Genomic DNA, 27346 nt, shown 5'->3' on the forward strand with positions numbered 1-27346 from the left:
TCTAATATTTGTTACTATAAAGAGGTCAAAATATAGCTTAAAAACTTAAAAAAAATCCAAAATCTTAAATATCATATGTTCAATGTGTGATGTGGCAATACAACTAAACTAAAAAATAAAGCTCACTCACTGTGATAGGCAGAATTCTAAGATGGCTACCCCAAGATCCCCATTGCCTCATATACTCATACTTCGTCCTAGTGATTCAAACACTTGTCTAGGTATTACCATGAAAGGATTTTGCAGATGTAATTATTTAAAACTTTTTTTTTTTTTTTTGAGACAAGGTCTTACTCTGTTACCCAGGCTAGAGTGCACTGGCATGATCATGACTCACTGGAGCCTCGACCTCCCAGGGTCAAGTGATCCTCCCACCACAGCCTCCCAAAGTGCTGGGATTACAGGCATGAGCCAGCTTGCCCGGACTTGCAGATGTAATTAATGCTTACCTTAAGACAGGAAGATTATCTTGGTAGGCAGAATCTAATCATATTAACCTTTTAAAGCAAATTTTTCTCTGGCTGGTTAAAGGATATGATAGTCAGAGATGTGAAGTATGAGAAGAATCTAATGTATCATTGTTATTTTGAAAATGGGGAAGAACAGGATCCTGCTGTGTAGTTAGTGTTTCATAAATACTAGCTGGTTGACTGATACAGCTTTGTACCCTCTATTCTGGTATGTTATTAGTACATCAAAGACCAGAAAAATCATTAGGTTTATGTATTTGTTGTGTCCCTCACATGACCTCAACTCTATGCTTACTAAAGTGGCCCACTTAATCTTGTGGTTGCAAGACACCTTTAAAGATCTTATCCAGTGCAACTGGAGGCCGTTATCCTAGGCGAACTAAGTCAGGAACAGAAAACTAAATACTGCATGTTTTCACTTATAAATGGGAGCTAAAAACTGGGTACTCAGGGATATAAAGATGGTAACAATAGAAACTGGGGACTACTAGAGGGGTAAGGAAGATGGGGGCAAGGGTTGAAAAACTATTGGGTGCTATGCTCAGTACCTGGGTGATAGGATCATTCATACCCCAATTCTCAGCATCATGCAATATACCCAGGAAAGAAACCTGCATATATACCTCCTGAATCTAAAATAAAATTGAAAAAAAAAAAAGATTTTATCCAGCTATGTACTTGATAATTTAACCCCATCTGTAAAAGTCACATCAGAAGGTTATCCAGCCCACACTTGACCATTTACAGTGATGTGGTCCCTCTCCCATTTGTGCACAAGTCAGACTACTAACTCAGACCGAGTTGAAATCTACCTTGTTTTACCTTTAAATCCACAGATCCTAGTAACTCTTATTGAAGAGGTTGCACATTGACAGCCCATGGGTTGTGCATGGCATATTTTGTTTGGCTTGAATAGCTGGCCAGCAAGGTCTTGATTTAAAAAGCAAAAGCAAAACAAAACAGGCCTAGGTAAACAATGAACCTAGAGTAAGATGAAGCATAGGACTTTACCTTAAAGTCTGAGACAGTAATAAATGAGAGCTGCCCCCTTTGATAGCACAGGAGCTGCCTAAGTCTGAGCTTGTGTTTTCATTTTAAAATGGGGATAATGCCTACCTCACGTGACTTTTGTAAGATTATGTATATAAAGCACTTGGCATAGTAGCTAGCACATAATCAGTGCTCAATAAGTGGCAGCTGTTTTCTCCAGGCTATCTCTTGCTGCTCCTTTTACCAGTCTGGTTACTTTCCTTAGAAGGAACACATCTCCTCTCCAGAACACATGGACACAGGGAGGGGAACATCACAGACCGGGACCTGTCGGGGGTAGGGGGCTAGGGGAGAGATAGCATTAGGAGAAATACCTAATGTAGGTTACAGGTTGATGGGTGCAGCAAACATCATGGCACGTGTATACCTATGTAACAAAACTGCACATTCTGCACATGTGCCCCAGAACTTAAAAGTAAATAAAAAAAAATAAAAGTTAAAAAAAAAAAGAAGGAACACATCTCCTTTCCCTTAGATCTTTAATGTTACCTTCTTTCTCTTTGCTTTTTTTTTTTTTTAGAGATGAGATCTTGCTATGTTGTCCAGGCTGGACTCGAACTCCTAGGCTCAAGTGATCCTCTTACCTCAGCCTCCTGAGTAGCTTAATGTTATCTTCTTAATGAGGTCTTCCTTTGCCAACCTATGTAAAACTAACATCCCCTTCTCTCACCTTCCTGGCTTCATATATCACCATTGCCATGATCACCAAGTAACACACAGTTATTTATTTAGTCTATCATTTGTCTTCCAATCAATATAAAATCCATACAGCAGGAGTTTATATATATATATTTAACTACTGTAGCCCTGATACCTAGAAGAGCGCCAGACATTTGGTAGTGCTGAATAGATAACTGCTTATTGAGTCAACAAATATCTTTCCTAAAGTCTGGTGCTCAAGTCTACACAAGTGAGCTGACAAGTGCTGAGTACATTGGGTCAATTTTCCTTCTTGTTAATGTAGTCTTTGCATTAAAGACTGAAATTAATAGTTTATAATCTTGGAGTGTATATATATATATATACTTTTTTTTGGAATTTTATATATATATATATTTTTTCTTTTTTTTCTTTTTGAGACAGAGTCTTGCTCCGTTGCCCAGGCTGGAGTGCAGTGGTACCATCTTGGATCACTGCAACCTCTGCCTCCTGAGTTCAAGCGATTCTCCTGCCTCAGCCTCCTGAGTAGTTGGGACTACAGGCACCTACCACAACACCCAGCTAATTTTTTGTATTTTTAGTAGAGACAGGGTTTCACCATGTTGGCCAGGCTAGTTTCGAACTCCTGACCTCAAGTGATCTGCCCGCCTCAGCCTCCCAAAGTGTTGGGATTACAGGCGTGAGCCACCGTGCCCGGCCCGTGTATTTTTTAAAGTAGGGAATCTAAGACAATTCAGTTGAAAAACTATAAACAAAATGTTTTTGTTCTTTTACAAAATGTCCTTAAGAATGTAAATTATGTACCCAAATAGTTATTTAAAAGACTTTTCTGATGCTACAGATATTTTAATTTTGGAAATTTTACTTGTAGGGATGTAGACAAATTCCTGTTATGATCTTGAGGTCAAAGAGATACATGGTTGACCATTACAGTGTAATGTAAGTCAACTGCTTTTATTATACCACTCCTTAACATGAGGTAATCTAATTCTGTTCCTGTTTGCTTTTTTATTTCTGTCTAAGCCCTTATAAGGGTAAACTGTCTCCTTTCTTCTTCTATTTGGCCACAGTCATTATTTAATTCCCAGGATTAAGATCAGCAGCTGTGTACTGAACGTTCTCACTAAGACTAAGAGTTTTCAGAATGTGAAATGGATTTTGTACTAGTCTCCATACAGTGGGATAAATAAATGCTGATCACGAGACAAAAACCTTACCTGCCTTGAATTATTTGGGACAAAGTAAGGACTAATCCTTTTCTATGATAAAGGTTTTCCCCTCATATCCAATTCCTTTTAAACGATTCCTTCCCCAAACTTACAATTATAAGCACTGAGTAATTATTCAGAAATACCTTGGTGGTTTAATACGGCTGTCTTTAAATGGTGTGAGATGCTGGACTCTAGCAAGACTGCCTGTTTTTATTTGACTTAGTTCAAACAAGAGTCTTGGTTCTCTTTGTAGGCTGGCTAACAAGCAGAGCAATCCCATAAACGTAGTTTAGTCTGACTCAGTTCACAAATACATACATACCTGAAAGAAGATCCTTGGTAGGGAGGTTGTTTGAAGAAAGAATGCATGAGTCACTGTGACTCTTGGCAACTGTTCTAATTTGAGGCTGGAATTCAGAACTGTTCAGAAGGGACATCTGCTTCCGTGGAGCTCTGCCTTTCAGAGTTACAGACTCTAAACTCTGTCCTGAATTAAGACTGTGCTGTAGTCCAAAGGAAGAATCCTTTATTGTATCAGGGTTCTCTGCAAAGCATACATGGTCTTTTCCCCTGTTTTTTTAAAAAGGGAGAACATCAGCAATATATAATCTATTATGGTAACATTCTATTTTGTCAGAGACAGAAAGTAGACCAGTGGTTTTGGCAAGGTAGTTTGGACCTCAAAAAGCGTGACTTATTTGCAATACAACTTTGTAAATCTCTTTTTCATCTCCCAAATTATAGAAATAATAGATGCTTTACCTACAGTGAGGGAGTCATAGCTTAAATGAGACAATAAAACGAAGAGCTCAGCAGAGCCTGACACAAAGCAAATGCTTCATAAATAATTACTTAAAACAAAAACCTGATTCTTATTCCATTCTGTTTCACAGAATAGCTCCCTGTCCCTCTTTTCCCTCATGAACATCTGTCCTGCATCTGGATATCATTTAGTCATTTATCTGTATGTTGGCTTCTCCGCTAGATTGTGAGTAGTCCTGGAAAACAGAAATCATGTCTTACTTATTTCTAGGCCCAGCACCTAGTATCAAACCAGGACCAGAGTGGGTGCTTCACAGTTATCTGCTAAATGAGGACTGTGCCTCTCTCTGCTGTTAATCTTTTACTCAACCATAAATGAAAGACAGAAATCACAACTACAGTGCAGTTAACTGACAGATTGACTGGTATTAGGTATGGTAATTACCTCGGAGTGGTTGATCTACTGCTGTTGGCTGCTAACTCTTTTCCATCAATTTTGATGGTATGTATGTCGCGAGGCCTTGATGGAACCTGAAACTGGGTACTGCTGGGTTCAGTATTCTCTCTGAATCCCTGCTTAGATAAAAGCACATTTTCTGTCATGTCAGTGGTAGGAAGTGGATGGTAGCTGTCGTAAGTTTCTGACAGAGGTTCCAGGGCAAGTGAGACCTAAGAGAGACAGGTAGTATATGAGAAATTTTCTTTAGCATTGATTAACTAATTTTAAGACTCCCCTGCTTAATATTAATTAATGTCCCCCATTCCCTACAGGATTGTAAGGAATGTCCCCCATTCCCTAGAGGATTGTAAGGAATGTCCCCCATTCCCTAGAGGATTGTAAGGAATGTCCCCCATTCCCTACAGGATTGTAAGGAATGTCCCCCATTCCCTAGAGGATTGTAAGGAATGTCCCCCATTCCCTACAGGATTGTAAGGAATGTCCCCCATTCCCTACAGGATTGTAAGGAATGTCCCCCATTCCCTACAGGATTGTAAGGAATGTCCCCCATTCCTTACAAGATTAATGTCCCCCATTAATTGTCTAAATTCCTGCCTACCTTGGAAGCCTCATCTCTTACTAAGCTTCCTTCCTTCATCCCTCTGTTCCAATAGACCAATTACTTATGGTTCTCTAAATGTACCTTATATTTCATTGCTTTATGCCTTTGTATATACAATTTCCCCCAGTATTCCTTCTTTACGTCTAAGTAGAGATGCCATGTCCACTGCCTTCTTCATGTTTCTACTTAATCTGTATCTATCCATTAGCATAATCACCATTTACTGAACCTTTTACTACAGGCCAGTAACTGTGCTAAGTTCCTCATATAGAGAAGATAATGTGATTATACAAGGCCATCAGGAAAGTATATTACCCTAATTCGAAGATTCTTTTTTTTTAAAGCAAAGACTTGGAGAAGGTACTTGCGACCTTTCATTCATCATCCTGATTAGATTATGCATTCCTTGAAGCACGGGCTATCTTCTTCATTTTTCTATCGACTACTTAGCATAGTGTGTGTATAAATAGTATGCAAGTCTAATATGCCTAATAATGCTAATGGTCTGATGAATAAAAGAAGGACATAACATTTTCTGCATTCTTATTATTAGTTGCTTGGGAAAAATAAGGTCCTAGTTCTATGCTGGAGATGAAGAGGGGTGAGGAGGGAGGACAACTAAGATGAAAAGGTAATTACTTTAAGTTTCCTTATCATCTCCTTCCTGTGAGTTCAAGTTCTTTGTGAAAAGACTCTCTAGTCCTCTGAAAATCCCAATGGAGAAACGCCTAATGGAGGAATGAAAAATAAAATGGAGTTTTGAAGCAAAACCTTAAGGAAGAAAGTGAAGGATATACTCCAAAGGAAAAGAATAGTAGCGCTGAAAGTTCAGTTTCAATGACAAAGAAAGCAGAAGGAATTGTTTAAGCACCCAAAGACCGTCAAATAATGAATGCCCTAACACAAAAATGAAAAACTGCAGTTAGATGTTTTACGATGTCTCTGGGAAGGTCAATGAAATATTTTATCCAGAAGAACTGCCAAGGCACAAACTCAATAAAACATGCCTGGGTCTTGATGAGAATTCTGTTCATGAACCATAATATAAAGTCCTTCAAATCTATTCATCATGAAGATCTTTGTACAAAGACAAATGACAGCAATGCGGTGGGATGAATACTATGTGCAGTGATCACTGTTAACAGCATCACATAAAATCCTGGTTGCTCAAACATAAATGCCAGGAAGTGTTCCCTTACCATTCATCACTTGCCAAAGACTGCCTCTGCATTCTAGAAACAAAGGAGACACTGAGGATAAAGGTAGTGTTCCTGGCCTTAACAATGAACTGCTGACTGGCCACAGAGTTTGCTTTAACTCATAGGCCTGTACTGCCATTGGCCCTTGAATAAAGAGTCAGAGAAAGTCCAGACACTTGCCACGCCCATCTTACAATCAAAACACAGTGGCCTAACTCCTTTGTTTAGTTAAACAAATACTTGTTGATACCAGCTCTGTGCCAGGCTCTGTGCTACCTCCCTGAGGAAAACAGAGGACTAAAACAGGGACTCACACTGTAATCCCAGCACTTTGGGAGGCAGGGGTAGGAGGATTGCTTGAGCCCAGGAATTTGAGACTGGCCTGGGCAACATAGTGAGAACCTGTCACTACAAAAAATTTAAAAAAAAAAATTAGCTGGGCATGGTGGCATGTACCTTGAAGTCCTAGCTACTCGCTAGGCTGAGGCAGGAGGACTGCTTGAGCCCCGGATATTGAGGCTGCAGTGAGCTATGATTGTGCCACTGTACTACAGCCTGGGCAACAGAGCAAGACTCTGTTTCAAAAAAAATAACCCCCTCCTCCCCCACAAAAACACCCTCTGCCTCAGAGGATCATAGTATTTTGTAGAGGAAGTTAGAAAAAAAAGTAATTTTTCCATTTCTCTATCGGCCAGGAAGGGCAGTGGTGACATACCTATCAAGTACAATGACTACGGCTTCTAGTGCTTTGGCAAAAACCTTAGATATGGTTGCAATTTCATATTGTTGGAACATTTGCTGTATCCCTGGGGGTTACAGATCTCTCTCTGTTTGCTGTGGCTAAACCAAGAAAGAAGGCACACACAGATTTCTTCAGAAATTATGATTCCATGAAAGATTGTGAGGAGATGAAGAAGGCTGATATCTTTCGGAATACAAAGTGATTTTGAAATACAAAGAATTTCTTTGGGCTAAATTACGTAGAAGTTTGTCACTGATTTGTGTTCCTGAACTATGAAACATGAATATGTGGGCTAAGAAATAGTTTCTACTGATAAATAAACAATTAACAAAAAAGTAATTTTAATATAAAATAGTAAGTTTTAAGATAAGGATGTGTACTAGGTGGTATGGGAATGCTAAGAAGGGGTCTGAGGCTGGGGAAAAGGTGAGGAAGGAGTGCCAGGGATGATTTCCAGGAGTGAAATACAAACATTTGAGCTTAGAATCTTAAATACGAATGAGGCAGAAAAAGCTGAGGGGGATGGAAGTAGAACATTAGAGGCAGAGGGAAAAGTATTGGTCAAACTTTGACGGTATAAAACAGAAGAATGTTCTGTCAATTCCTAGCCGTCCAAGAGACCATCTACTTTAACCCTCCTGTTGCATTTAGCTCCCAGATCTTCATTCCTGTCCACCTCAATCATTTGCCTCCCCAATCATGATTCATCCTGGTGCTCACTCCTCTGCCAATCCCTTCACTGAGTCCTGTAGAATTTCTATTTTATACAAATTACTTTACCACTTTAATGAAACATTTTTTTCTTTAAATGTCCCCATTTCCTCAAAGTCTCTTCCAATAGAAACCACCTACACTTGCCAGGCTAAAGGGAGTTAACTTTTGCCTTTTTGGTGCTATCTCTAGACCATCATTCTATCACTTAAATATATCACCCCTCTTCCAAAGCCCACGCCATCCACATATACCAAGAATGTACCATATGCTTCTCACATCCGTAAGAGAACAACCTTAAGGACACTCATCAGTCTTCTAGCAACGACTCAAGGTTCGCTTTAACAATAAGTTGCCTACAATTATCTACTATATCTACAACATGTATCAGTATCAGAGAGAGCAAATTAGTAAGTATAATTTTCACAATCATGTTGGTCAATGCAGCATTTTTTAAAAAGTCAACTATTTAACAATGCTTATTATTTTTTAAATTTAGAGACAGGGTCTCGCTCTGTCACCCAGGCTGGAGTGCAGTGGTGTGATCATAACTCACTGTAACCTTGAACTCCTGGGCTCAAGTGATCCTCCTGTCTCAGCCTCCAAAGTAGCTGGGATTACTGGTGTGCACCACCACATCAAGCTAATTTTATTTTATATATTTATATATATATATATTTAATATATATTTTATATATTTTAGGGGTCTTGCTCTGTTTCCCAGGCTGGTCTCAAACTGCTGGCCTTAAGTGATTCTCCCACCTCAGCTTCCTGAGTAGCTGAAATTATGGGCACACGCCACCATGCCTGGCTCAATTTACTAAAATTGCGTTGAAAAATTTTAAGTCTAGGTTCATTAAGGATATTGTTCTATACTTTTCTTATATTGCCCTCTGGTTTTGGTATTAAGGTGATGCAGGCCTTAAAATAACTGTTTTCTCCTTTATGTTTGGAAGAATTTGCCAGTAAAGTGATCTGGGCCTGGAGATTTCTTTTTCAGAAGGTTTTAAGCTAAAAATTAAATTTAAAAATAATTATCATTTTATTCAGGTTATCTATTTGATCTTGAGTGAGTTTTGGTAGTTTACAGTTTTTAAAGAATTGGCTCATTTCATCTAAGTTGTCAAATTAATATGTGTAGAGTTGTTCACAGTATTTCCTTAATATCTATGGGTGCTATAGGCTGCTGTCTTTCTTACAGTAGAATCAAAAGGAAAGTGAAATATTTGTGTTCATGAAAGAGAACAAGAGACATTAATTTCAAAACAAACAAAAGAAAAAAGCATATTTCTTTGTGGAAGAGAATGTGAAAGTTCATTATACAAATTGGGTCCTTCTTATCATATCCAACTAAATCAGTTGAGGGGCCAGGGGAAAAAAAGGGCTCAGGGTATATAGATTGCTCCAACAATGCAATTCTCTGCAAGCCTGGATGCAGAAATGGCCTGCTGTAACCCTCAGAGCAGTTTCACCTACCAATGAGAGGGTCACTCATCAAAAAGAGCTTGCCAGCTCCCCAAAGCTTCTCTAGTGCCAATAAGCTTTTTTGGCACACAATATGTACAGTTTTTCTTTTTTAAAAAAATTTTAATTTTAGGTTCGGGGTACATGTGCAGATTTGTTATATAGGTAAACTCATGACGTGGGGGTCTGGTGTACAGATTATTTCATTACCCAGGTACTAAGCACAGTACCCGACAGGTTTTTTGTTCTGAACCTCTCCCTCTTCCCACTCTCCTCCTTCAAGTAGGTCCCAGTGTCTATTGTTCCTCTATTTCTGTTCTTCTGTTCTCATTATTTAGCTCCCACTTGTAAGTGAGAACGTGTGGTGCTTGGTTTTCTGTTCCTGCGTTAGTTTGCTAGGGATAATGGCCTCCAGTTCCATCCATGTCCTGCAAAGGACATGATCTCATTCTTTTTTATGGCTGCATAGTTTTCCATAGTGTATACGTACCACATTTTCTTAACGGTCTACCATTGATGGGCACTCAGCTTGATTCTATGTTTTTGCTATTGTGAATAGTGCTGCAATGAACATAACATGTGCATATGTCTTTGTGATAGAACAATTTATAGTCCTTTGGGTATGTACCCTAAAAGTATAATTATTTAAAGCTATAATTATTTTTTAAATTTAATTTTTAGGTAAAACCTTCTGAAAAAGAAATCTTCAGGTCCAGATCACTTTACTGGCAAATTCTTACAATACTCAGTAGTGGGACTGCTGGGTCAAATCGTAGTTCTGTTTTTAGATCTTTGACGAATCGCCACACTGCTTTCCAGAACGGTTGAACTGATTTATGCTCCCACCAGCAGTGTATAAGCATTCGCTTTTCTCTGCAATCTTGTCAGCATATGTTATTTTTTGACTTTTTAATAATAGCCATTCTGACTGGTGTAAGCCATTCTCACTGTGGTTTTGATTTTTACTTCCCTAATGATTAGTGATATTGGGCATTTTTTCACGTTTGTTGGCGCATGTATGTCTTCTTTTGAAAAGTGTCTGTTCATGTCCTTTGCCCACTTTTTAATGGGGTTATTTTTTGCTTGTACATTTCTTTAAGTTCCTTATAGATTCTGGATATTAGACCTTTGTCAGATGTATAGCTTGGAAATATTTTCTCTTATTCTGTAGGTTGCCTCTGTTGATAGTTTCTTTTGCTGTGCAAAAGCTCTTTAGATTAATTGTCCCAGTTGTCAATTTTTGCTTTTGTTGCAATTGCTTTTGTTGTTTTCATCATGAAATCTTGCCAGTTCTTATGTCGAAAATGGCATTTCCTAGGTTCCAGAGTCTTTACAGTTTTAGGTTTTACATTGAGGTCTTCAGTCCATCTTGAGTTGATTTTTGTATATGGTGTAAGTAAGGGGTCCAGTTTCAATCTTCCGCATATAGCTAGCCAGTTATCCCAGTACCATTTATTGAATAGGAAGTCCTTTCCCCCAAATTTTTCTTTCTAATAAAACTCCCAACCTTCTCTTTGTTCTTTGAACATACTGAAGACCACCACCTACCTATATGTCCTGAATTGCAATTCTTGCTTCCCAAATAAAATGCTTTAAATTTGGAGATTTGTCTTTATATTTTATTTTGACTTCAACAAGAATATTTCTAATGGTAAAATATACAAACAAGATATGACTGTGTCAAAAGATAGCATCAGGAAACAAACTCTAGTAAGAATTATGATGGGCCTGTAGAACAGACAAATAATGAAAACTGAATAAACAGAAAGTACACATTTAAACTGTTATTTTTTTAAGTAAATAATGAGTGGTATACCTGTGAAATGCAGTTACATATTAAGATTAAAAGCTTTAGGGTGTCAAAGTCTCTTATCAATGGTAAAATTTATAAAAGAATGTTTAGTGAATGCAGCAGAATTTGGGTGTAATAGCATGATTTGCATGTACACATCTAACCAAAATTAGTTATTCAGCATGTTAGTGGTATGGCTACAAACTTAAAAGGTGAATTGAGTGAAAATGTTAAATAATTTGTGGCATTCTTCTTTGTAGTTGATGAGAACACAGATTAAAAATAACTTTCCAAGAGTTGTATCCATTTAAAGTATCAATGAGAACTTTTATGTAAGGGAAAAATTTTTGGATGTGATGCTCATGACAAACATATCCAAGGAAATACAGCTCTCTGAACTGAAAAAAGTTTTGAAAACTTTATTAAAGACTGATGACAAAGGATGATGATCCTGAAATGGTCTTTGTTGACAATAAACTTGTTTCAAGATCTAAATCCAAGGTGGCAACACTTTGCAAAGACAGATAACCATAAAGCTATTTACTGTCTTATTTACTTTGTCTACAAGGCTAAAAGTCAAACCACACACACACACACACACACACACACACACACACACAATTAACATATGAATTAAATTCCTGCCAGGCGCGGTGGCTCACGTCTGTAATCCCAGCACTTTGGGAGGCCGAGGTGGGCAGATCACTTGAGGTCAGGAGCTCGAGACCAGCCTGGCCAACATGGTGAAACTCTGCCTCTGCTAAAAATACAAAAATTAGATGGGCGTGGTGACAGACGCCTGTAATCCCAGCTACTTGGGAGGCTGAGGCAGGAGAATTGCTTGAACCTGGGGCGGAGGTTGCAGTGAGCCGAGATCGTGCCACTGCGCTCCAGCCTGGATGACAGAGTAAGACTCTGTCTCAAAAAATAAAATAAAATAAAATAAAATAAAATGAAATAAAAAAAATTCCCTTGGTCAATATTTTGCTTGCTAACTGGAAAGCAGGCCAGGCACAGTGGTTCACACAAATAATTCCAGCATTTTGAGAGGCAGAGACAGGAGGATTGCTTAAGCCCAGAGTTCAAGACCAGCTTGGGCAACATCTCAAGGCCTTGTCTCTACAAAAAAATACAAAAATTAGCCAGGTGTCGTGGTGTGCACCTGTTAGTCCCAGCTACTAGGAAGGCTGTCGTGGGAGGATCACTTGAGCCCAGGAGGTCAAGGCTGCAGTGAGTCATGATCTAACCACTGCATTCCAGCTTGGGCAACAGAGCAAGACCCCGTCTTAAATAACAACAGCAACGACCACAACAACGACAACACCCCTGAAAAACTGGATAAGCAGTATGTAGCCTATCATTAGTACATGGATATTAGGTGACTTAGTATGAGTTATGGTGCTAAAAAATGTTTTTGAGCTTGAGTTTAAAGAAGTCTCCTGGTTTATGTTGTCCAAGGACAAATCCCAGCCTCAGATCACTAGCACAGACTGGTCAAATACAGGGCCATTTTAACTGACATTACTGCCTATGTAAAAAATCTGATGGCTTATCTGCAAGGGCATTAACAAGGAACCATATTTCATTCAATTTACTCATTACTTGATGACTGTATCTCTGGAAAGTTTTATTGGCAAGGAACTATCTGTCCTACTTTTTTGTATTTTTCCATGCTGAAACAGGATTTCCAGAAATGAAACTGATGGCATGAAATACATTCCTAAAATTGTAGAGCTAAAGACTGATAACCCAAAAAGATTTTTTTTGGTTTCAAGCTTTATGAAAACTAACACTATTCAACTTACCTTTCTCAATTTATACTGGAAGTGTAACATATGGAGGTTAATAAAGTACAGTACAATATTTAGGATTAACTGTGATGTTGAAATCTTAAATTTTACAAATGTCTTAAATTTTACAAATTTTACAAATGTCTTAAATTTTACAAATTTTACAAATGTCTAACTATCAAAACTATTTTGCCAAGATTCTACCTTTGTTTGGAAATACTCATGTTTGTGAATGGTTAAGATCTGTTATGAAACTGAATAAAAACTAAATCTTATAATTAAAGGGTTTAAAAATGAATGATGTAATGCCCATCATATATTTAATACTTGGTACTAACTTAGCATAGAAGTAAATGTATCACATTTCTAGCCAGATCAAATGAATGATTTCAAAAGAAAAAAGCTATAGTTAAGTATTCCTGTTTCCCAATTTCAAACTTAAAATAATCGTATGTTTATGTGTATATATACATAAATATCTTATATATGTATATATACACACATATACCTTATATGTGTGTATATAAGATATATGTGTGTATATTTATATATGTGTATATATTATGTTACATGCTTATATAATAGCATAAGTTTGATACTTTTGATACTTTTCAAAAGTCTGAATATATTTTTGGCAGTTGATTTCTTTTACAGCCAGTCTGCTTGACTCATTTATTTTTTTTGACATCTGATCTATACTAATAATGGAATACAACAAAGCTTCCTCTCTCAATCAGCTTGATTGTAATGAACTATATCTGCCTTCTTTGCAGTCCCTCACTCCCCAGTCTGACCAAACCTGATCTTCCCCTTCACAGCAACAATGTAAAGCCACCTTTCTTCCTTCATCTCCATTCTATCAGCTCCTTACTGGCTACACTTACCCCTCTTTTCAGGAGAGATCCCATGGTTAGTCAACTCAATACTGTCCTTGGGGACAGCAAAGCAGTGGTATAACAAGAATTCAAGTTCCATCATTCACTGCATGTTTTTCTTTTTAAAGTATCAAAATTAATATAACACATGCACATTTAGATTCAAACAGTTCGATAATTTTGTTACATAAAACAAGTCCCTTACATAGACACCATTTCTCTTTCCTCACAGGCGGCCACTTTCAATTTCTATACCTGATTCCTGTGGTATTTACCTCTATAGCTCCAAATAACATGATTATGTCTATACTTTGACTTCTAGTTTCCAGGCATAACCTTTTGACTTCCTAATACAGGAGATAAGAATTTAGCTCTCTCCCACATCCACTTGTTTCCTCCATCCTCCCAATGTGCCAATATAGTAAACACTGATTATTGATCTGACTACAATTATAGTATGAACATGTATTCCATTTATAGCTGAACAATTAGAAGTACTGATTACTTTTCCTTTCCTGCACAACATTTTCCCAAAATGCTGTCTTGTTTTCTCATTTGCTTAGTTAAAAAAAAAATTTTTTTTTCTTTTTAGAGATCAGGTCTTGCCATGTTGCCCAGGCTGAACGTGAACTCCTGGGCTCAAGTGATTCTACTGCCTCAGCTTCCTGAGTAGCTGGGACTGTAGGTGCATGCTAACATTTGCTTTGTGTTTTTATTGTTCTTATTGTTAATTCAATTCTGAACTTTTTGCCAGTTATCGAATTCTCCTCTTAAGATTTTCAGACACAATAGGTGTTTTGTAACTTTTTTTTTTTTTTGAGAAATCTCTCCCAGAGCCTTAGCATATACTCCAATTTGGAATAGCTGCCATCTATGCCTTGTGTACAGCTGCTTCACCTCAAATCAAGGGATTCTCTTCGGCTCCCTCCTGTGTTGTATCTCTTGTTTGCAATATCCCACCTTGTCTTCTTTTTAAGTTTACTCCCTCATTTTGGCAGAGAAAGTCCCTCAGCTGCTTTGTCAGGAAGAGTGTGGGAGAGGTACAAATTTTTGAGACTTTGTATATACAAAAACTTCATTCTACTCTTACACTAGATAGTTTGCCTAGAGAGACAGAATTCTAGGCCATTTTCATTCAACATTCTGGAGGCATTATTGAATTGTCTTCTGGACGCTAATGTGGCTATTGAGAAGTTTGAAGCCACTCTACTTAATTCTTTGTGTGTGACTGTTTCTCCTGTTCTCTGGAAGTTTATAGAATCTTGTTTTTGTTTTCAGTGCTCTAAAATGTCACAATGATATAACTTGCTGAAAGTCTGCTTTCATCCACTATGTTGTACTTAATGGACACTTTCCTTTTGTAAAAAAAAAAAAAAATTGATATCAAGAAAAATGTTTCTGTGGATGGGTGCGGTGGCTCACGCCTGTAATCCTAGCACTTTGAGAGGCGAGGCAGGTGGATCACTTCAAGCCAGGAGTTTGAAACCAGCCTGGCCAACAAGGTGAAACCCTGTCTCTACTTAAAAAAAAAAATACAAAAAAAAATTAGCTGGATGTGGTGGTACATGCCTGTAATCCTAGCTACTTGGGAGGCTGAGGCAGGAGAATCACTTGAACCTGGGAAGCAGAGGTTGCAGTGAGCTTAGATCACACCACCGCACTCCAGCCTGGGCTGGGCTACAGAGCAAGACCCTGTCTCAAAAAAAAAAAAAAAAAAAAAAACAAAAAAAAAACAAAACAAATTTCTAAGCTTTTTAAAACATATAAAATTAGAAAAAAATAAATAACGACTACAGGTACTTATTATCCAGCTTCAACAATTATTCACATCTGGCTAATCATGTTTCATTTATACCTTTTCCAAGCCCTGCTTTGTTACTGGATTATTGTGAACCAAGTTCCAGATATCATGCCATTTCTGTAAATATAGTTTTAATAATATGAGGACTCATTAAAAAAACATAAACACCATACCATTATCACATTTAAAAAATTAATAACAATTCTTCAAAATTATCAAAACTTGAGTCAACATTCTAATTTCCCTGATTGTTTCAGATTTTTTACAATTGGTTTCTATGAATCAGGATCCAAACGAGTTCCACAGGAGACTTTTTCTTTCTTTCTTTCTTTTTTTTTTGTTTTTTGAGATGGAGTCTCACTCTGTCACCCAGGCTGGAGTAGTGCAATGGCACAATCTCCGCTCACTGCAACCTCTGCCTCCTGGCTTCAAGCGATTCTCCTGCCTTAGCCTCCTGAGTAGCTAGGATTATAGACGCCCACCATCACACCCAGCTAATTTTTGTATTTTTAGTACAGATGAGGTTTCACTATATTGGGCAGGCTGATCTCGAACTCCTGACCTGGTGATCCGCCCGCCTCGGCCTCCCAAAGTGCTGGGATTACAGGCGTCAGCCACAGCGCCTGGCCCACAGGAGGCTTTTTCAATCTGGCAGCTCATGTATTTAGTACTGAGAAGTCTTCCTAAATTGCCTGTAAGCATCCAACACTCTTTATTTATTTATTTATTTATTTATTTATTGAGACAGGGTCTCACTCCATCACCCAGGCTGGAGTGCAGTGGCATGATCTCGGCCCACTGCAACCTCTGCCTCCCAGGTTCAAGTGATTCTCCTGTCTCAGCCTTCTCAGCCTCCCTAGTAGCTGGGATTACAGGCACATGCCACCATGTCCAGCCAATTTTTGTATTTTTTGTAGAGATGGAGTTTTGCCATGTTGGCCAGGCTGGTTTCAAACTCCTGGCCTCAAGTGATCCAGCTGCCTTGGCCTCCCAAAGTGCTAGGATTACAGGCATGAGCCAACGTGCCTGGCAGACAACACTCATTAAAGGGGGAAAAAAAATAAAGTGCACAATTTATAAAATTTACAATGTTCAGTATTCAATAAAAATTTAATAGTAGTAGGAAAACATGCCCTATAACCACAGAGCAATTAATCAATAGAAACAGACACCAAATGATGGGTGATAAAATTGATGGGACCTTAAAACCGCTATCATATAGATGCTCCTAATGCTTAAGGATGTGAAAGAAAATGTGACTGCAAAGAAAAAAAGAAAATGTACATTAAAAAAGGAAATGTAACTTTTAGAGATGAAAATATTTGAAATGAAAATATGACTGATGGGGTTAGAAGCAGGTAAGATACTGCACAAGATGATTAATGAACTTGAATATAGAGTAATAGTAACTATAAAACGAAATACACAGAGGATGAAAAGACTGGAAAAAACCAAACTCAAGTCACTGGTAGAAAAATGTCAAGCAGTCTAAGATACTTTGAAGTCTCATGAAATCACATGCTGGCTCCTTGAAAAGATTAATAAAATTGTTAAACTTCTATCCAGCCTGATCCAGAAAAAAATGAGAAAACAAATTACTAATATTAGGAATGAAAGAGGAGATATAATCACAATTGCTTTAGACGTTTAAAGACAGAAAAGGGATGTTATAAACAACTCTGTGCCAATAAATTCAACAACTTCAATGAAATGGATGAATTATTTGAAAACCAAACTACCAAAGCTCACTCAAAAAGAAAGATTACCTACACAGCCCTGAATCTACTATATAAATTAAAGTGGTAGTTAAAAACCTTCCCCATAAGGAAAAATCCAGAAACCAGTTAACTCCACTGGTAAACTCTACTAGACATTTAATCAATTCTACGTTAACTCTTCCAATAAACAGAGGAGGAACTCTTCTAAAATCATTTTATGCCAGCATTACCCACACATCTAAATCAAAGACAATGCAACAAAACAATACTACAGATTAATATCTCTCCTGAACAAAAATGTAATGTTTCATTTCATCCTCACTGAAACATTAAATCACAATAATATATAAAATGGCTAATACTATATGACTTCATTGTGTTCATCGTAAGACTGATGGTCTGGTTTTGTTTTTAGAAATGAATCAATAAAATAGGCCATATTAACAGACCAAAAGAAAAAAATCCAAATGACTATCCTAACACATACAGGAAAAACATTTGATAAAGTTCAATACCCATGATAAAATCTCTCAGAAAATTTGGGAAAAGTGTTCTTAAAACTTGGCACTTTTCTAATTGATAAAGGACAAATATGAAAAACCTATATCTAACATCACATTTAATAGTGAAAGATGCCAGACATGATGGCTCTCCTCTAATTCCAGCACTTTGAGAGACTGAGAAAGGAGGATTGCTTGAGGCCAGGAGTTTGAGACCAGCCAGCCAACATAGCGAAACCCTGTCTCTACAAAAAAATTTTAAAAAACAGTTAGCGTGCACCTGTAGTCTTATTTACTCAGAAGGCTGAGGCAGGAGGACTGCTTGAGTCCAGAAGTTTGAAATTGCAGTGAGCTATGATCATGCCAGCCTGGGTGACAGAGTGAGACTCTGTCTCTTAAAAACAAAACAAAACAAAACAAAACAAAACAAAACAAAACAAACAAAAGCAAGTGAAAGACCAAATGCTTTCCTATGAAAAGAAAGAATGAAGGAAGAATATCTGTTCTCTATTCAACATATACTGGAGATCTTAGTGTGATAAGGCAAGAAAATAGAAATAAAAGGCATATAGATTAGAAAAGAAGTAAACCTGTCTTTATCCACAGATGACATCATTGTCTATAGAGAAAATTCTCAAGAGTCAATGAAGAGCATGAATACTTTGGGATAAATCAAAGTATATGCAAGCCTGCATGATGCTAAGTATAAAAGATTGTAGAAAAAAAATTAAAGAGCCAAACAAATGGAGAAATATACCATGTTCATGGATTGGAAGACTCAATATTGCTAAGAACTTAATTCTCTGAATTTTATCTGTATATTGTACAGTATCAACAAAAATCCCAGCAGATATTTTTTATGGAAATCAACAAGCTGATTCTAATATTTATAAGGAAATGTGAAGAACTTAAAATGGACAAAAATTTTCAATAAGAACAAAATTAGAGGGCTCAGAGTATCTTATTTCAAGGTTTACAATAAAGCTGCAGTAATACAGTGTTGCTATCCTAAGGACAGAAATTCTAATCTGCAACAAGAATTCCATTAAAAACAAAAAGAAATACAGATCAATGAAACAGAAAGGAGTCTAGAAATAGACTCACATATATATAATCAATTGATTATATTCAAACAAAATTTAATGGGGTGGGAAAGGGCAATCTTTTCAATAAATAGTGACAGAACAAGAAGATACAATTATAGAAAAAAAAAATCCTGACCTTATTTCACACTACAGTATACCCCAAAATTAATCAGACATGAATTATACCTAAAACTAAAAGCCAAAACTATAAAAATATTAGGGGAAAACAGTGGAGAAAATCTTTGCAAACTTGGATTAGGGGAAGATTTCTTAGGTAGGCCTGAGTTTATAAAAAACATAAACCATAAAAGGTAAGATTGATGGCTGGGCACGGTGGCTCAAAATAAAGGTAAGATCGATAAACCTGATTTCATTGAAAGAAAAACTTCTGTTTTTCAAAAGACACAATCATGAAAATAAAAGAAGAAAAAAATTAAACAAAGGGAGTATATATTCAGGGCAACTTAAATCTATGCTTCTGAGTTGTAGTCCTCAAGTTTGGCCCAAAGTCTCTACTTATTAAAAAAGAAAAGAAAGAGAGAAGCCAAAGGCTGGGAATATAAATGAATGAATGAATGAATGAATGAATAAATACTTATAGCCCTAATGTTAAAAAGCTCTCAAAACTAAAAAAGATAAGCTTATTTTTTAAATGGGCAAAAAACTTGAACAAACAATCCACAGAAAGTATCGGGGGTTGATACATTTTCCTATGAATAGGCCAGAGAGCTAATATATTAGGCTTTGCATGCCATATGGTCTCATTACTCAACTCTGCTGTTTGGCATAAAAGCCACATAGACCATATATAAATGAATGGGTGTGGCTGCGTCCTAATACAACTATTTACAAATATAGGTGATGAGCCAGATTTGGCTTGGGGGTTGCAGTCTGTGAACTCCTGAAGAAGATAAAAGAATAGCCAAAAAGCCCATGAAAAAATACTCAACATGTTAGTCATCAGGAAATACAAATGAAAATCTCAATTAGATATCAGTACATACTCATTAGAATGGCAAAAATTTAAAAGAGTGACCATAGCAAGAGCTGGTGAAGCATAAACACCTTCAATTTTAAGAACAGCTGTGGTTCCCAATGGTTCCAGAGACCCTGCTTATAGCCAGCAAAAATGGTCTTTGACAGCAGCCTTCTAGACATATTTGCCTTTAAGAGTCCTGTTCCTGGCAGGCCTCCACAGGCTCCAAGATAGTGGAACAAGAGAGGAAACAAATCTTTAATTATAGCTTCTATTTCTTCACTGTAACCACTACTTATTTCTGTACTCCTCAGTCATTCAAAATTTGACAAAAGTCTCCACTGCTCTATTAAAAACAATTCTTCAACAAATCCAATGACTGCAAATAAAAAATACACAAATATTATTGTATGAATTGACATTTAAATATGAACAAAAAATGGTACAGGCATTCTGGAAAATAGTCTGGCAGTTCCTTAAAAAGTTAAAAATAGAGTTACCATATGGCCCAGCAATTCCACTTGTAGGCATATACCCAAGAGAACGGAAAGCATATGTTCACAAAAGAACTTATATATGAATGCTAATAGCAACATTATTAATAATAGTCAAAAAGTCAAAACAATCCAAATGTCTATCAACTTTAGAATGGGATATATCCATATCGTCAAGTATTATTCATCCACAAAAAGGGATGCACTTCTGATACATGCTATAACATGGATGAAACTTAGAAACATTATGTTAAATGAAAAAAGCCAATCGCAAAAGGCCACATATATTATTCCATCTGTATAAAATGTCCAGAACAGGCAAATACACAGAGACAGAAAGTAGGTTAGTAGTTGTCAAGGGCGGGGGCAGAGAGAAACAAGGAGTGGCTGTATTGGGTACAGTGTTTCTTTTTGGGGTGAAAAATGTTCTAGATTTAATAGCAGTGATGATTGTAAAAACCACTGAATTGTGCACTTTAAAAGGGTGAATTGGCTGGGTGTGGTGGCTCACAGCTGTAATTCCAGCACTTTGGGAGGCTGACATGGGAAGATTGCTGGAGCTCAGGAGTTCCAGACCAGCCTGGACAACATGGCAAAACCCTGTGTCTACAAAAAATCCAAAAACTGGCCAGGTGCAGTGGGTCATGCCTGTAATCCCAGCACTTTGGGAGGCCGAGGTGGGCAGATCATGAGGTCAGGAGATTGAGACCATCCTGACCAACACAGCAAAACCCTGTCTCTACTAAAATACAAAAAATTAGCTGGGCATGGTGGTGCACGCCTGTAGTCCCAGCTACTTAGGAGGCTGAGGCAGGGGAATCACTTGAACCCAGGAGGTGGAGGTTGCAGTGAGCTGAGATCGCACCACTGCACTCCAGCCTGGTGACCGAGCAAGACTCCGTCTCAAAAAACAAACAAATTAACAAACAAAAAAACAACAAAAACTTAGCTGGGGGTGGTGGTGTGTGCCTGTAGTCCCCACTACTAGGGAGGCTGAGGTAGGAGGATTGCTGGAGCCCAGGAGGTCGAAGCCAAGTCAGTTGAGATTGCATCACTGTACTCCAGCCTGGGCGCACAGTAAGACCCTATCTCAAAAAAAAAAAAAAAAAAAAAAAAGGTGAATTTTATGGTATGTGGATTATACCTTGATTTTTTAAAAAAACTAGGTGCTGTGGAGCACACCTGCAGTCCCAGCTACTCAGGAGGCCGAGGCAGGAGAACCGCTTAAGCCCAAAAGCTTGAATCTAGCCTGGGAAACATAGTGAGATCCCTTCTCTTAAAAGGAAGAAAGAAAAAGAAAAACATAAAACCTTACCCTGTGGCCGGGCACAGTGGCTCATGCCTGTAATTCCAGGATTTTGGAAGGCCAAGGCAGGCAGATCACTTGAAGTCCAGAGTTTGAGACCAGCCTGGCCAACAGGGTGAAAACCTGTCTCTACCAAAAAATACAAAAATTAGCCGGGCATGGTGGTGTGCACCTGTAGTCCCAGCTACGCTGGAGGCTGTGGTGGGAGACTTGCTTGAATCCAGAAGGCAGAAGTTGCAGTGAGCAGAGATAGTGCCAGTGCACTACAGCTTGGGTGACAGGGCAAGACTCTGTCTCAAAAAAACCCCAAAGAAAACCCACCTTACCTAGAACATTGTACTCCTCCCGATTTCATTTTTCCTTGTTTTTTCCCTAGTCATCGATCATATGCACATATGCAAATTTGAATTTTCCTTTGTCATCAATCCAAAATCATTTTTCCAGCTGCCACACAATCATAACTATGTAATTTTATCTTCTATGGATATAAAAGATTCCACAAATAGACTATAACTTTAATATTGTTGAATAAATTGTTTTCATTTTCCCAATATTAAAAATGTATTTCCAATACTAGACTGAAGCATATAGCTTCCTTCTCTTTTCATAGTATTTACTTAAGGTAAATTCCCAGGGGTGGAATAATGAGGTAAACGATATACAGTAATTCATGTGGCTTTTGAAACATAATGCCAAACTGTCTGGCAGTGCTGATGCAAATTTATATCATCAACAGAAAAGCATGACTAAACCAGACTCACTTCACCCTTAAGTCATCAATATAAAGTGTCACTATTTTAACATTTAATATATTATAAATGAGAATAGGATAAAAACAATAAATGTTAAGTTTTTTTTCAGTTAGATGGATCTATTTCTGGAATCTGTTCCACTGACAAAATTATATGCTTATGATTTTATAATATTAATAAATTCTTACATTTGGTAATGTTAGATGTTTTTTCCTTATCCTTTTTAGACTATTTTCTTATTTAGTATTTAATTTTCTCTATACATTTTAGAATACAATTGACAAAGTATAACCCTCCTGGAATTTCTAAGGGGTTTGAATATTCAGAATTTTCTAGAAAGTGCTCCCAATGAGCCCCCCACAGAAGAGGGACCATTCTATGTTCTTTCCTAGTATCTCATGCATATCTATCACACAGTATGTATTACACAGGGTTCTGGAAAATTAAATGAAAGGGCCATCTCTTATCTCTGTATATCCCAAGTTAGTGGCATGTAACAGTATATGAAGAAAACATAAGTTGATATCTTCAATAAATAGTGCTGGAAAACTGAATACCCACATGCAGGAGAATAAGAGTAGACTCCTCTCATCATACATAAAAATAAGCTAAAAGTGGACTAGACTTAAATGTAAGATCTAGGACTATAAAACGACTAGAAGAAAACATAGGGGAAATGCTTCATGACATTGGTCCAGGCAAGGATTTTTTGGGTAAGACCTCAAAAGCACAAGCAACAAAGCAAAAATAGACAAATGGGAGTACATCAAACTAAAAAGCTCTGCACAACAAAGGAAACAATCAACACAGCAAAGGGACAACCCACTGAGTGGGAGAAAATATTTGCAAACTTGGCATCTGACAAGAGTTAATATCCAGAATATATAAGAAACTCTAACAATTTAACAGCAACAAAACATTTTTTTAATTAAATAATGAACATAAAACTTGAATAGACATTTCTTAAAAGAAGACATGCAAATGGTTAATAGGCATATGAAAAAATGCTCAACAGGGCTGGGCGTGGTGGCTCACATCTATAATCCCAGCACTTTGGGAGGCCAAGGCGGGCGGATCACCCGAGGTCAGGAGTTCGAGACCAGCCTGGCCAACATGGTGAAACCCTGTCTCTACTAAAAATACAAAACTAGCCAGGCGTGTTGGTGCATGCCTGTAATCCCAGCTACTCAGGAGGCTGAGGCAGGAGAATCACTTGAACCCGGGAGGCGGAGGTTGTGGGGAGCCGAGATGGCGCCATTGCACTCCAACCTGTACAACAAGAGCAAAACTTCGTCTCAAAAAAAAAAAGAAAGAAAAAAGAAAAAATGCTCAACATCACTATGATTATGGAAAGGCAAATCAAAACGACAATGAGATATCGTCTCACTCCAGTTAGAATAGCTATTATCAAAAAAGACAAAAAGTAACAAATGATGGTGAGGATGTGGAGAAAGGGATACTCATGTATTGTTGGTGGGAATGTCAATTAGTACAATCATTATGGTCAACAGTATGAAGGTTCCTCACAAAAATTAAAAGTAGAACTACCATATGATCCAGGAATCTCACTACTTGCTTTATAGTCATGCACCAGGTAACAACATTTCCATCAATGACAGACCACATATACGACAGTGGTCCCATAAGATTATAATAAGGTTGAAAAATTCCTATCGCCTAGTGACTATAGTGTTGTAATGTGGTAGTGCAATGCATTACTCTATGTTTGTGGCGATGCTGATGTAAACAAACCTGCACTGCCAGTATAGCACATACAATTATGTATGATACATAATACTTGATAATGATAATAAACAACTATGTTACTGGTTTACAATTTACTATATTATACTTTTTCTTTTTGTTTTAGAGTGTAGTCCTTCTACTTATTAAAACAAAGTTAACTGTACAACAGCCTCAGGCAGGTCCTCAGGAGGTATTCCAGAAGAAGGCACTGTTATCATAGGAGATGACAGCTCCATGTGTGTGACTGACCCTAAGACCTTCCAGTGGAACAAGATATGGAGGTGGAAGACAGTGATAGTGATGATCCTGACCCTGTGTAGGCTTAGGCTAATGTGTGTGTTTGTGTCTAAGTTTTTAACAAAAATGTTTAAAGAGTTAAAAAAAAATGAAAATAGAAAAAAGCTTATAGAATAGGGATATAAAAAATTTTTGCATACCTGTAAAATGTGTTTGTGTTTTAATTGTTATTACAAAAGTCAAAAAGTTAAAAAAAAATTAAAAGTTTATAAAGTAAAAAAAGTTAAAGTAAGCTAAGGTTAATTTATTATTAAAGAACAAGATTGTTTTGTAAATTTAGTGTAGTCTTCTAAGTGTACAGTGTTTATAAAGTCTACAGTACAGTAGTACATGGTAATGTCCTAGGCCTTCACATTCACTCACCACTCACTCACTGACTCACCCAGAGCAACTTCTAGTCCTGTAAGCTCTATCCATAACTGCTCTATATAGGTATATATCTTTTATCTTTTATACTGTTATTTTATCTTCTATACTGATATCTTTTAACTTTTATACTGTTATTTTTATGTACTTTTTCTTTGTTTAGATATGCTTAGATACACAAATTCTTACCATTGTGTTATAACTGCCTTCATTGTGTTACAACAGTATTCAGTATAGTAACATGCTATATAGGTTTGTACCCTAGGAGCAATAGGCTATACCCTAAGCCTAGGTGTATAGTAGGCTATACCATTTAGGCTTGTGTCAGTACACTGACGTTCGCACAAGGATGAAATTGCCTGAGGACACATTTCTCAAAATATATCCCCATCATTAGTAATGCATGACTGTATATTCAAAGGAAATAAAATCAGTATGTCAATGAGATACCTATACTCTGTTTATCACAGCACTATTCACAATAGCCAAGATGTGGAATCAACCTAAGCATTCATCAACAAATCAATGGATTTAAAAAATGTATATATACACGATGGAATACTATTTACAATAAAAAAGAATGAAATCCTGCTATTTGTGACAACATGGATGAACCTGGAGGACATTATGTTAAATGAAATAAGCCAGGCACAGAAGGACAAATATTATACTGCATAATCTCACTCAGATAGAATCTAAAGAAAGTAGATCTCATACAAGTAGAGCAGAATAGTAGTTAACAAAGATTAGGGAAGGTAGCAGGGAGGGAGGATGGAGAGAGGTTGGTCAATGGGTACTATCGTACCGTTAGGAGGAATAAATTCTGGTGTTCTATTGTACAGTTGGGTGAATACAGTTAACAATAATGAACTGTATATTTCAAAATAGCCAGAAGAGAGGACTGTGAATGTTCTCACCACAAAGAAAAATAATACATGTTTGAGATGATGGATATGCTAATTACCCTGATTTGATCCTTACACAATGTATATATGTATCTAAACCTCACATTGTACTCTAAAAATATGTGTATCACGCGTCAATTAGAAATAAAATTTACAAAGTAAGCTGAATCAATAAATGAATACATCAAAGATACCACTTACATGAGTCAAACAAGCAATTATTGTTCAGTACTATATTATGAGCTATGTGAAAAACAAAGAAAAGAGAAAACAAAGGCTTGCCTCTCAGGGAATCTAGAAACTAAAACGAAGAGGAATTAAAGAGAGCCTACTAATAAACAATTTTGGAAACTATGTAGAATTATAACTGTACAATGATTAATTAATGCTTTTATGAATGTAAAAAAGAGTACAAGAAGAATGAATGCTGTAGGAGGTGTGAAGGACTCTCGGAACTTGAGATGGCACTAAGGCACTAAGAGGATTTGGATAAGTGGGAAACAAAAGTAGGTCTACTGGGTAAAAACATGGGCAAAGGCATGAGGTGGAAATTAGCATGATATACAGGAGCCATGGACCTATCCATTCTACAAACAGACTCAACTATTTCTGCCCAAAAAGTTTATTTTATGCAGCAAATAATTAAAATATATTTTTACCTGGAGTTCTCCAAGTTTCTTAGACGTTGATGAAACAATGGTAAAAAATCCATTGATTTGATGGGTTGGAGAAAGTTGAGCTAGTCCATTGATCTGAACTCTACCAATTGGAAGACCATCAAGTTTGGTGATTACTTCCAGCACCAGCACAGCCATATCTAACCAGAAACAATTACAACATGGATATTTTTCATTTACTTTTATTTTCTTTTTTAAGACGTGGGTAGAGGGGTATATGCGGAAAAGCTTTCTAACTTGAAAAAAAATATTTTATGTTGGATAACACCATTGCATTGGTGAAAGTGAGGGGAATTAGGTACTTTAATAAGTTGCTAATAGGATGGTTAACTGGAAAGCAATTCAGCAATAACTCAAAAAAGTACAAAAGCACATTCCTTTTTCCATGAAGTTCTACTTTTTTTTTTTTTTTTTTTTTCTTGAGACAGGGTCTCTGTCGCCCAGGCTGGAGTGCACTGGCACAATCATAGTTCACTGCAACCTCGAACTCCAGGACTCAAGTGATTCTCCCATCCTAGCCTCACAAGTAGCTGAGACTAGAGGCACACGCCACCACACTGGGGTAATTTTTTTTATTTTTGTAGAGACAAGGTCTCACTGTGTTGCCCAGGCTGGTCTCAAACTCCTGGCCTCAAGTGATCCCCTGATCTTGGCCTCCCAAAGTACTGGGATTACAAGTATGAGGCACCAAGGCTAGCCTACTCCTTAAACTTTATTTTACAAGCTGTAAATTGATCTATGTACCAGAATATTTAATAAAATGTGTTTTTTTAATAATGGCAAAATGGTGAAAAATAAAGTAATAAAAAGAATATAAGTAGCTCTATACTGATATGGAACAACATCCAAGATGAATTGCTAAGTAGAAAAAAAAGTGCTGACTGTATATGTATATAATCTGTGTAAATAAAAGAAATTATGCAAAGAGCTTTTATT

At 37.2% G+C, this 27346-nt stretch overlaps 1 protein-coding gene across 2 annotated transcripts in view, besides 2 other annotated features; it reads right to left on the reverse strand.

Moving 5' to 3' along the window:
• Positions 1-27346, reverse strand: part of C2CD3 (C2 domain containing 3 centriole elongation regulator) — a 158285-nt gene that overhangs the window by 122289 nt on the left and 8650 nt on the right. For both annotated transcript variants that reach the window (NM_001286577.2, NM_015531.6), the window contains exons 3-5: positions 26393-26550; positions 4599-4822; positions 3714-3961 (exon numbers count right to left, since the gene is read on the reverse strand). In NM_001286577.2, coding sequence (NP_001273506.1) covers positions 3714-3961; positions 4599-4822; positions 26393-26550 — 630 coding nt within the window. The remainder of the gene's footprint in view (positions 1-3713; positions 3962-4598; positions 4823-26392; positions 26551-27346) is intronic.
• Positions 3618-3912: an enhancer, noted in NCBI's record as "tiled region #9619; HepG2 Activating DNase unmatched - State 5:Enh". NCBI's record gives its function as "activates a minimal TATA promoter and a strong SV40 promoter by Sharpr-MPRA in HepG2 cells {active_cell/tissue: HepG2}" and the evidence as "EXISTENCE:reporter gene assay evidence [ECO:0000049][PMID:27701403]".
• Positions 3618-3912: a silencer, noted in NCBI's record as "tiled region #9619; K562 Repressive DNase unmatched - State 5:Enh". NCBI's record gives its function as "represses a minimal TATA promoter and a strong SV40 promoter by Sharpr-MPRA in K562 cells {active_cell/tissue: K562}" and the evidence as "EXISTENCE:reporter gene assay evidence [ECO:0000049][PMID:27701403]".

The sequence above is a fragment of the Homo sapiens genome, chromosome 11 (assembly GCF_000001405.40).
Source record: "Homo sapiens chromosome 11, GRCh38.p14 Primary Assembly".
NCBI classification, from domain to species: domain Eukaryota; kingdom Metazoa; phylum Chordata; class Mammalia; order Primates; family Hominidae; genus Homo; species Homo sapiens.